This window comes from Homo sapiens, chromosome 5 (assembly GCF_000001405.40).
Source record: "Homo sapiens chromosome 5, GRCh38.p14 Primary Assembly".
In the NCBI taxonomy this organism is placed as follows: domain Eukaryota; kingdom Metazoa; phylum Chordata; class Mammalia; order Primates; family Hominidae; genus Homo; species Homo sapiens.
In genome coordinates this window covers 180,101,838-180,113,879 of record NC_000005.10, presented here as the reverse complement: position 1 = coordinate 180,113,879, position 12,042 = coordinate 180,101,838, and the positions used below count along the sequence as shown (strand labels likewise).

The following is a 12,042-nucleotide window of genomic DNA, read 5'->3' as shown; positions in this document are numbered from 1 at the left end:
CTCGATCCCTCCATCTATCCTCGATCCCTCCATCCATCCTCGGTCCCTCCATCCATCCTCGGTCCCTCCATCCATCCTCGGTCCCTCCATCCATCCCCAATCCCTCCGTCCATCCCCGGTCCCTCCGTCCATCCCCGGTCCCTCCGTCCAGCCCGGATCCCTCCATCCATCCCCGATCCCTCCGTCCATCCCCGATCCCTCCATCCATCCCCGGTCCCTCCGTCCATCCCCGGTCACTCCGTCCATCCCCGGATCCCTCCGTCCATCCCCGATCCCTCCGTCCATCCCCGATCCCTCCGTCCATCCCCGGTCCCTCCGTCCATCCCGGATCCCTCCGTCCATCCCCGGTCCCTCCGTCCATCCCCGATCCCTCCGTCCATCCCCGGTCCCTCCGTCCATCCCCGGTCACTCCGTCCATCCCCGGTCCCTCCGTCCATCCCGGATCCCTCCATCCATCCCCGATCCCTCCGTCCATCCCCGGTCCCTCCGTCCATCCCCGGTCCCTCCGTCCATCCCGGATCCCTCAGTCCATCCCCGGTCCCTCCGTCCATCCCCGGTCCCTCCGTCCATCCCCGGTCCCTCCGTCCATCCTGGATCCCTCCGTCCATCCTCGGTCCCTCCGTCCATCCTCGGTCCCTCCGTCCATCCCCTGTCCCTCCGTCCATCCCCGGTCCCTCTGTCCATCCTGGATCCCTCCGTCCATCCCCGGTCCCTCCGTCCAGCCCAGATCCCTCCATCCATCCTCGATCCCTCCGTCCATCCCCGGTCCCTCCGTCCATCCCCAGTCCCTCTGTCCATCCCCGGTCCCTCCGTCCAGCCCGGATCCCTCCGTCCATCCCCGGTCCCTCCGTCCATCCCCGGTCCCTCCGTCCAGCCCGGATCCCTCCGTCCATCCCCGGTCCCTCCGTCCATCCCCGGTCCCTCCGTCCATCCCCGGTCCCTCCGTCCATCCCGGATCCCTCTGTCCATCCACGGTCCCTCCGTCCATCCCCGGTCCCTCCGTCCATCCTCGGTCCCTCCGTCCATCCTTGGTCCCTCCATCCATCCTCAGTCACTGCACCCGAGTCCCTGAGCTCCTGAGAAGAAAGGCCAGGCTGACCCGCTCCGTATCCTGACCTCCAAAAGGGCCCACCCAGCACACGTGTCTCGGCGTAGCTGTGAGCTAGGCAGACACTGAGTCAGACAGAGCATGCCATGCAGCAGCTGGACCCCGAGTCTGTAGGAAGGAGGGGGCTCTTCTCCCACTGAGAGCCAGCCCCACCCTAGCGTTGGCCTTAGCAGTGGGTGACACAGTGGGTGCGAGGCCCCACCCAGCTTCCAACTCCAAGGAGCCGTAAGTCCTGGGCCAGTCACCAGTCACTGCTCTGTCTGAGCCTCAGTCTCTCCCTGTGTAAGATGGGTCTTCATCTATAGCCCAGAGAGGGGCTGGGGGTAGAGGTGCAGCATGGCCTCCGTGGGCTGTGAGTGTCCCCTGCAGCTGGGAACCACAGCACATGGCCAGACGCTTGGGCCTGGAGCTGCCCTCCTCACAGACACCCCAGCAGACCGTCACATGCTACCCACAGGCCTTGTTAGAGGGTCCCAGGCTGCCTCACCTGTTTGTTAGGTTAGCCCAGGCTGGAGGTGATGTGGACAAGATGGGACTTAGGCAAGACACTGCAGGGGCCCAGGGAACTGGGATCCTCCTCCGCAGGTGACACCAGCCCAGAGCCAGGCGTGGGAACCCCCTGCCTTAGCCCTTCCTGAATTGATCCTCAGAGCTGAGGCCAGGGACAGGTAAGACTACAAGGTGCTTGTGTGGTCCCAGCTTTGGGGAGCAAGCAGAAGGGACTGGACCTGGCTTCCAGGGCAGATCAAAGGGTGTCGTGGAGCGGGGGTCCCTGCCATTCACAACTGTGCACTGCTCTTTATTTAAAGTTGGCACCTTTTTTAAAAATTAAATACATGTGTTTACATTTTACTTAAATAAAATCACACTTAAATGAATTACTTAAGTCTTACTTAAATATACCTATTTAAATATATTTGCATAATTACATAAATCAACAAACATGTATCACTTGCCATACATAGAGGATAACAACAAAGTAAATACAATGACATAAAACCAGGCCCACTCTTGCTCCACACAGGCTGCAGGCCAGGACTGCTCTCGCCCTCATTTATCGCCCCCTGCTCCTCCTCAGAGCCCTAAAGCCACTGGGTGTTGAGAGGGTCTCTGCCAGGACCAGCCCCTCCCCCTCATGGGGACCTCCAGGCACTGGAGTGCCTCCATTCTGTGTCTCTGTGACCCTGGCAGAAATTCCTGGAGCTGGCCAAGCAGGTGGGGGAGTTCATCACCTGGAAACAAGTGGAGTGTCCCTTCGAGCAAGACGCCAGCATCACCCACTACCTGTACACCGCCCCCATCTTCAGTGAGGATGGTAAGGTAGCCCTGCAGCCCTCCTGCCTACTGGGCCACGGAACTCTGGGGTAGCCTCTCAGTCACCATTCAGGACCCCTGCTCTGAGTAGGTTAGGGATGCACCCTGCCCACCTGGGCTGGCTCCGGGAGGGAACAAGGAGGGCTCCATCCCCCTGGCTGGCCCATTGCCACTCCAGGAGTACAGGATGGGCCTGAGGAGGTCCAAGCTGGGGCCTCAAGGACCCCCGGGGCCAGGCTCCTCCCCGGACACAGTTTGGACACCTTTAGAATTCTAAATCAGAACCATCTACCTGTCTGGCTCACTTTCCTCAGTAAAGTGGGGATGATGATAAGAATCACCCTCGCCAGGCACAGTGACTCACGCCTATAATCCCGGCACTTTGGGAGGCAGAGGCAGGCAGATCAGAAGATCAAGAGTTTGAGACCAGCCTAACCAACATGTTGAAACCCCGTCTCTACTAAAAGTACAAAAATTAGCCGGGCGTTGTAGTGCCTACCTGTAATCCCAGCTACTCAGGAGGCTGAGGCAGCAGAATCACTTGAACCCGGGAGGCAGAGGTTGCAGTGAGCCGAGATCGCACCACTGCACTCCATCCTGGGTGACAGAGCAAGACTTCGTCTCAAAAAAAGAAAAAAAAAATCACCTTCCCAGAGCTTACGTGGGGAGTGCCAAGCACAGCACTGACTGTGTAGGCGTGTACGTGTGTGCAGGTGTAACAGACACAGGCACGAGGTGAGGCCTCTGCTGCAGTGCCATTCATTTCTGTCCTCTCCACTAAATAAGCATTTCCATATGATCATTTGTCAGATGTAGGTTTGCTTGCAAGCGTGCTAAGGGGGCAGGTCCCGGGGCCCTCTGCTTTCAGGAAGCAGAAGTGGTAGAGAAGCAAGTGGCCCTGTGGGCTTGAGCTGGGGTGGAATGGCCCCGCGGCCCCACATCACCCTGAGAGGGCCTGCTCAGGACGCAGAAGACCTGGCTTCTCATCACAGCAAGCATGTCACAGAGGGACCCACACTTAGGCTCAGTGGGCACTTTTACTTTCTCCAAAAAAAAAAAAAAAAAGGGAGAAGGATCTTTTAATGATTTTGCTTTTGAATACTTTCAACTTTGCCATTTTATTGTTTATATTTTGAAGCTGGGAACTTTTTGGAGGGGCTTTCACCCCTATCTGTAGCCACCTCCCTGCAATGCCACTAAGAAGCCGAGCAGCTGATGAATAAACCTGTCTGAGCCGCTCCCACCCCAGCGAGCTGTGCGATGAGCAGGACTCATCGTCTCTAAGCCTCTCCTGCAGTATCTGGAAAGCGGGGTGATGTGAGAACCTGCTCCCCAGGGCCCCGGGGAGAATGCCTGGAGCTGCCCAGGCGAAGTCCACACAATTACCCTCAATCCACACTAGTGCGTGAGTTTCCTGTTGGTGCTGTCACAAATCACCACAAGCTTGGTGGCTCAAAACAACACAGATTTATCCTTACACACTTCTGGAGAGCAGAGGGCTGAAATGAGTTTCCTTATACACTTCTGGAGAGCAGAGGGCTGAAATGAGTTTCCTTATACACTTCTGGAGACCAGAGGGCCGAAATGAGTTTCTCTGGGCTAAAATCAAGCTGTCAGCAGGGCTGGTTTCTTCTGGAGGCCCTGAGAGGAGAATCTATTTCCTGGCCTTTTCAACTTCTAATGGCCACCTGTATTCCTTGGCTGTGGCCCCTTCCTTCATCTTCCAAGTGCATCACTCCAATCTCTCCTTCCATCATCACATCATCTTCTCTCCACCTTAGTCAAATCTCCCTTTGCCGTCCTCTTATAAGGACACCTGTGATTGCATTTAGGGCCCCCACATATAATCCAAGATATTCTCCACATCTCCAGATCCTTCATTTAATCATGTCTGTAAGGTTCCTTTTTGCCATAGAAGGTAACATTCAAAGGTCCTGGGATTAGAACCTGGATACCTCTGGGACCATTATTCAACCTAATTATTATTATTATTTTTTTTTGAGACGGAGTCTCGCTCTGTCACCCAGGCTGGAGTGCAGTGGCGCAATCTCGGCTCACTGCAAGCTCCGCCTCCCGGGTTCACGACATTCTCCTGCCTCAGCCTCCCGAGTAGCTGGGACTACAGGCACCCACCACCACGCCCGGCTAATTTTTTTTGTATTTTTAGTAGAGACGGGGTTTCACCATGTTAGCCAGGATGGTCTCAATCTCCTGACCTCATGATCCACCCGCCTCAGCCTCCCAAAGTGCTGGGATTACAGGCGTGAGCCACCACGCCTGGCCCTACTACCCTAATTATTATGATGATTGTTGTCATTAGCCAGTGACCTCTTCATGGAACTTGGGCATTAAGATGAGTTAAAGACACATGAGGAGAGGCATAGAGGAGTCTCAGGGCAGAGAGGGAGAAAAGGGGGGCATTTTATTTACTCCTTTAGTCAACCATATGTCTTCAGAGACTGCTGTGTGCCAGGCAACAATCTAGCAGTTAACACAGACAAAACTGTGGCCCTCCTGGAGCCCCGTTAGAGAGGGGCATCTTCCATTTTTACTGTCTCTTCCTTCTGTCCCTCCCACAACCCCAAAAAAGTGGAGGGAAGTAAGGTAAGAGACCTAGGATGTACTGAGCCCCAGCTGGGTCACTTACAGCCTCTGACAAAAACCTGGCCCTGACCTCAGCTCCAGGCTTCCCTGGCAGGGCCCACCTGGCAATTAGTCAGACTTGAATCTCCTTGAAGCAAATGAAAATATAGAAAGTCTCAGCAAAGAAACAGAAGATATAATAAGGAAGAGCCAATGGGAGTTTTAGAACTGAAAAATACAATAACTGAGATGGAAAACTGAGTGAATGGGCTTAACAGCAGAATAAAGAAGGCAGAGGAAAAAAATCTATGAACTGGAAGATGGAACAATAGAAATTATACAATCTGAACAACAGGGAGAAAATAGACTGAAACGGCTGGGCGCGGTGGCTCGTGCTTGTAATCCCAGCACTTTGGGAGGCTGAGGCAGGCAGATCATGAGGTCAGGAGATCGAGACCATCCTGGCTAACACGGTGAAACCCCATCTCTACTAAAAATACAAAAAATTAGCCAAGCGTGGTGTCGGGCACCTGTAGTCCCAACTACTTGGGAGGCTGAGGGAAGACAATCACTTGAACCAAAGAGGTGGAGGTTACAGTGAGCCGAGATCGCACCACTGCACTCCAGCCTAGGCCATGGAGTGAGACTCTGTCTCAAAAAAAAAAAAAAAGAAAGAAAGAAAATAGACTGAAACATATTTTCAGGGACCTGTGGGATTATAACCAAAGATCCCACACTCATGTCATCACAGTCTGTGGAGGAGAGGAAAAAGAGGGCAGGACTGAAAAAGTACTCAAAGAAATAATGGCTAGAAAGTTCCCAGAGTTGGAAAAAACATAAACCTACAGATTCAAGAAGCTGAATGATCCCCAAAAGGAAAAACTAAAGAAACCCCTACCAAGACCCATTGTAGTCAAACTTCTGAAAACTGAAGGAAAAGAAACAAATCTTGAAGCCAAGTGCAGTGGCTCATACCTGTAATCTCAGCACTTTGGGAGGCTGAGGCAGGTGGTTTGGTTGAGGCCAGGAATTCGAGACCAGCCTGACCAACCAGCCTGACCAACATGGCGAAACCTCGTCTCTACTACAAATACAAAATTTAGCCAGCTGTGGTGGCACATGCCTATAATCCCAGCTACTTGGGTGGCTGAGGCACAAGAATTGCTTTAACCTGGAAGGCAAAGATTGCAGTGAGCCAAGATTGTGCCACTGCACTCCAGCCTGGGTGACAGAGCAAGACTCTGTCTCAAAGAAAAAAAATAATTAAAAAATAAATTTTTTTTTAAATATTAAAAACACTGAGAGAGAAATGACACTTTACCCATAGGGGGAAAACACTCTGAATCATGTCAAATTTCTCATCAGAAACCAAGAGGCCAGAAGACAGTGGCACATTTTTCAATTGCCAAAAGAACTGTCAAGCCAGAATCCTATATACGGTGAAAACATCCTTCAGGAATTAACTATAGATAAATCAAAATAGAATTCTAAAAGCTGTTCAGGTAAACCACAGGAAGACAAGAAAAATAAAACAGAGAACAAAACACAGAACAAAAAGAAAACAAAAAAATAGACAAAAAGGCAGACTTAAGTCCTAACATACTAATAATTACATTAAATGTAAATGGTCTAAATACACCAAGTAAAAGAAATTGACAAAGTCGATTTTTTAAAATGATCCAACTATAGGCTATCTACAAGAAACTCACTTCACTATAATGATAGAGACATTTTGATAAGTAAAAAAAGAAGAAAAGATATAGCATGCTAATATTAATTAGAGGAAAGCAAGAGTAGCAATATTAATTTCAGATAAAGCACACTTTAGGAGAAAGAAAATTACCAGAAACAAAGAAGGACATTATACAGTAATAATAGGGTCAGTCCCCCAAGATATAGCAATCCTAACTATGTATCCACCAAACATCAGAGCTACAAAATTCATTAAGCAAAAGCTGATCAAACTGAAAGGAGAAATAACTAATCTACAATTACAATTGAAGATGTCAACACCCTTCTCTGAACAATTGATAGAACAACTAGACAGAAAATCAGCAAAGACAAAGAACTCAACAATATCATCAAACAACAGGAATCTAATCAACATTTACAGAACACTCCATACAAGTGCAGTAGAACACACATTTTTTAAAATTGCCCCCAGAATATAGACCAAAATATACCATCTCCTGAGCCATAAAACAAGCTGAAACAAATTGAAAGTAACTGAAATCATAACACACTATGTTCTTCAACCACAGTGGGATTAAATTATAATCGGTAGCATCAGACAACAGAAAACTCTTGAAACATTTAGAAATTAAATGACACACTTGTAAATAATCCATGGGTCAAAGAGGCTCATGGAAAATTTAAAAAATAATTGAACTGACTGAAAATACAATCAAATTTGTAGGACAGCTAAAGCAGGACTCAGAGGAAATCTTATAGCACCAAATGCATACATTAGAAAAAAGGGGAAGTGTCAAATCAATAATCTAAGTTCCTACATCAAGAATCTAGAAAAAGAGGAGCAAAATAAACTCAAAGCCAGCAGCAGGATGGAAATAAGAGCAGAAATCAATGAACCCGTAAGCAGAAAAACAATAAAGTTAATCAAAGGGCTGGTTCTTTGAAAAGAACAATAAAATTGCTGCCATCTAGCAAAGAACCTCTTGACAAAGAAAAGGAAAAGACACAAATTACTGATACAGTAGTCCCCCCTTATCTGTAGTTACCCTCAGTCAACCGTGGTCTGAACATACTAAATGGAAAATTCCAGAAATAATTCATAAGTTTTGAATTGTGCACCATTCTGAGTAGTGTGATGAAATCACACGTCATCCCACTGGGTTCCTCCTGGGACATGATTCATCCCTTTGCCCGGCATTTGTGCTGTGTTTATGCTGCCTATCAGTCACTTAGTGGCCACCTCAGCTATCAGATCAACTGTCAGTGTCACTGTGCTTGTGTCCAGGTAACCCTCATTTTACTTCTTTTTTTTTTTGAGACAGAGTCTCGCTCTGTCACCCAGGCTGGAGTGCAGTGGCACGATCTCGGCTCACTGCAGCCTCTGCCTCCCAGGTTCAAGCGATTCTCCTCCCTCAGCCACCCAAGTCACTGGGATTACAGGCGTGAGCCACCACGCCCAGCTAATTTTTGTATTTTTAGTAGAGACGGGGTTTCACCATGTTGGTCAGGCTGGTCTCGAACTCCTGACCTCAAGTGATCCACCAGCCTCAGCCTCCCAAAGTGCTAGGATTACAGGTGTGAGCCACCGCGCCCAGCCTATTTTACTTCTTTTTTTTTTTTTGAGACAGAGTCTTGCTCTGTCACCCAGGATGGAGTGCAGTGGCGCAGTCGCGGCTCACTGCAACCTCCGCCTCCCGGGTTCACACCATTCTCCTGCCTCAGCCTCCCGAGTAGCTGGGACTACAGGCGCCCGCCACCACACTTGGCTAATTTTTTGTATTTTTAGTAGAGACGGGGTTTCACCGTGTTAGCCAGGATGGTCTCCATCTCCTGACCTCGTGATCTGCCCACCTCCGCCTCCCAAAGTGCTGGGATGACAGGCGTGAGCCACCGCGCCTGGCAAAGTACCTGAGCAGTGATGCAGGCAGTTCAGATATGGCAAAGGGAAGCTGTAAAGTGCTTCCGTTAAATGATGAGGTGAAAGTTCTCAAGGGAAAAAATTGTATGCTGAGATTACTAAGATCTACAGTAAGAACAAACTTATCCATGAAATTCTGAAGAAAGAAAAATAAATTCTTGCTAGTTTTGCTGTTGCATCTCAAACTGCAGAAGTGCCTGATGAGTGCTTAGTTAAGATGGAAAAGGGATCCAAGACAAGTATATACAGGATTCCGTACTATCTGCAGTTTCAGGCAGCCACCAGGGGACTTAGAATGTATCCCCCACAGATAATAGGGGACTACTGTACCAGGAGTAAAACAGGATATCACTAACGACTACAGACATTGAAAAGATAATAAGGGAATACGACAAACAACTCCACACACACGAATTTAACAATTTAAATGAAATGAACTAATTCCTTAAAAAGCACAAATTACCACAACTTGACATAAAATAGATAATTTGAATAGCCCTGTGACTATTAAATAAATTGAATTTATAATTTTAAAACTCCCAAAAATGAAGTCTACAGGCTCAAATGGTTACACTGGAGACTTCTACCAAATGCTTAAAGAATTAACACCAATTCTCCACAATCTCTTCCAGAAAGTGGCAGAGGAGGGAGCCTCCTGATGAAGCCAGTTGTCTTAGTCAGTTTGAGCTGCCGTAACAAAATACCTTAGACTGGGTAATTCATAAACAACAGACATTTTCTTACCACTGAGTTTATATATATATATCTACAGTTTCAGAGGCCAGAAATCCAAGATCAAGGCAGATTCTGTGTCTGGTGAGGGCTGCTCTCTGCTTCTAAGGTGGAGCCTTCTTGCTGTGTCCTCGCATGGCAGAAGGGGCAAATGCTGTGTCCTCATTTGGCAGATGGGCAAAAAGGGGCCAGACTGGCTCCCTCCAGCCCTTTCATAAGGGCACTAATCCCATCCATGAGGGTGGAACCTCATGGCCTAATCGCCTCCTCCAGACCCCACCTGTTAGTTAACACTGTTGCATTCGGGATTATGTTTCAACATGAATTTTTCAGGGCACAAACATTCAAACCCTGGCACCAGTATTACCCTGATACTAAAACCAAAGACAGTACCAAAAAAAGAAAATACAGGCCAATATCCCTCATGAATATAGACACAAGAATCCTTAACAAAATAAGCAAATAGAGTTCAGCAATATGTAAAAATAATTATACGTCATGACTAAGTGGGTTCATTCCAAGGATGCAAAGCTGTTCAATATTTGAAATTCAATCAGTGTGATTCACTATACTAAACAGCTAAAGAAGAAAAGACACATGATTATATTAATCAATGCAGAAAAGGCATTTGACAAATTTCTACACGCATTTATGGTAAAAACTCTCAGAAACTAGTAATAGAAGGGAATTTATCAGCATGACAAGTTGCATCCACAGAAACGCTTCTGCAAACATTATATTTAACAGCAGAAGATTTAATGCTTTCCTCGTAAGACCAATAACAATGAAAGGATGTTCACTCTTCCCCACTCTTAGTCATCATAGTAATGGAAGAACTAGTTAGTGCGATAAGGCAAGAACAGGAAGTAACACACAAATCAGAAAGAAAAATTAACACTGTCCCTATTTGCAGATGATGAGGAAAAAAAATCCCAAAGAATCTACAAAAACCCCTAGAACTAATAAGGGAGTTCAGCAAGGTTGCAGGATACAAGACACACATGCAAAAATCAACCATGTTTCTACGTATGAGCAATAAACATGTGCACGCTGAAACTAAAATGATAATACCATTTACAGTCACTCACATGAAATATGTAGGTGGAAATGGAACAGAACACGCACAGGACGTGTACGCTAAAAGTTAATGCTGATGTGCCGGGTGCGGTGGCTCACGCCTGTAATCTCAGCACTCTGGGAGGCCGAGGCGGGCGGATCACAAGGTCAGGAGATCGAGACCATCCTGGCTAACACGGTGAAACCCCATCTCTACTAAAAATACAAAACATTAGCCGGGCGTGGTGGTGGGTACCTGTAGTCCCAGCCACTCGGGAGGGTGAGGCAGGAGAATGGTGTGAACCCGGGAGGCAGAGCTTGCAGTGAGCCGAGATCGCGCCACTGCACTCCAGCCTGGGCGACAGAGCGAGACTTCTGTCTCAAAAAAAAGTTAATGCTGATGAAAGAAATCAAGAAAGATGTAGATAAATGGAGACATAGGATGTTCTCGAACGCAAAGACTGCATAGCAAAGGTATTAATTCTCCTCCCAGAATTTAAGTACAGGTTTAATGCAATTCCTACCCAAATCCCAGCAAGACTCTTTGTAAGATAGAGACGAGATTCTCCTAAAATTTGTATCGGAAGTCAAAGGAACTAGAATTGCTAAAACAATCTTGAAAAGGATTCGTGGGAGGAATGAGTCTGCTTGATGTTAAGGCTGATATGATAGCGCTATGGTCGTTAAGACAGCACAGTATTAGGGGAGGGATGGACGCATGAATCAATGGGACAGAATAGAGAACCCAGAAAGAGACCCACGCAAATATACCAGGTGATTTTTGACAAAAACAAAACAAAACAAAACAAAACCCAATGGAGGAAAGCTAGCCCTCCAACAAACAGTGCCGGAGCATCCGGACATCCACAGACCAAAACATGAACCCCAGCCCAAGCCTCACACCTTATACAAATAATTAGCTCAGCATGGATCACAGACTAAAATGTAAAATGTAAACCTATACAGCTTTTAGCAGGGAAAAGCAAGAGATAACCCTCAGAATATAGGGCTAGATAAAGAGTTTCTTATTCCAAATATGCCACTATGATATGGCCCAGCCATTGCATTCTTGGGCAGTTAGTTATTCCAGAGAAATAAAGACTCATGTATTTATACATCATTTGAAGTGAGTTTCACACAAAAGCAAAAGCCCTCACGCAAATGTTATAGAACTACTGTCGTTAAGACAGCACAGTATTAGGGGAGGGATGGACACATGGATCAATGGGACAGAATAGAGAACCCAGAAAGAGACCCACGCAGATATAGCAGGTGTAGAACAGGTTATTATCATCAACCATAATTGTGAAATTTCACTTCATTTTCTGTCTAGGTCTTTATTTGGCTTCTTACGAAAGTGAGAGCCCAGAGAACCAAACAGAAAAAGAAAGATGGAAAGCTCTAAGGTGAGTCTTCCTGCCAAGGTGGGGCCTGGGGGCTGCTTGGGATGGAAAGCTCTAAGGTGAGTCTTCGCGCCGAGGTGGGACCCGGGGACTGCTTGGGACCAGGACAGGGCCGAGGGGCTTCAGAGATACCCGGCTCACCAGCCTCCTGGGAGCCTCAGCAGCCCACAGTGGGGATCAAGCCACAGTCATAGGGGTGAGGAGAGGAGGCTGAGCCTGTGACTCCCCCACGGCTG

The 12,042-nt window shown here is 47.8% G+C and overlaps 1 protein-coding gene across 1 annotated transcript in view; it reads left to right on the top strand.

Moving 5' to 3' along the window:
- RASGEF1C (RasGEF domain family member 1C) overlaps positions 1-12,042 on the top strand; it is a 108,417-nt gene that overhangs the window by 95,332 nt on the left and 1,043 nt on the right. The window contains exons 12-13 of the mRNA NM_175062.4: positions 2,300-2,423; positions 11,737-11,809. Of these exons, the coding sequence (NP_778232.2) occupies positions 2,300-2,423; positions 11,737-11,809 (197 nt within the window). The remainder of the gene's footprint in view (positions 1-2,299; positions 2,424-11,736; positions 11,810-12,042) is intronic.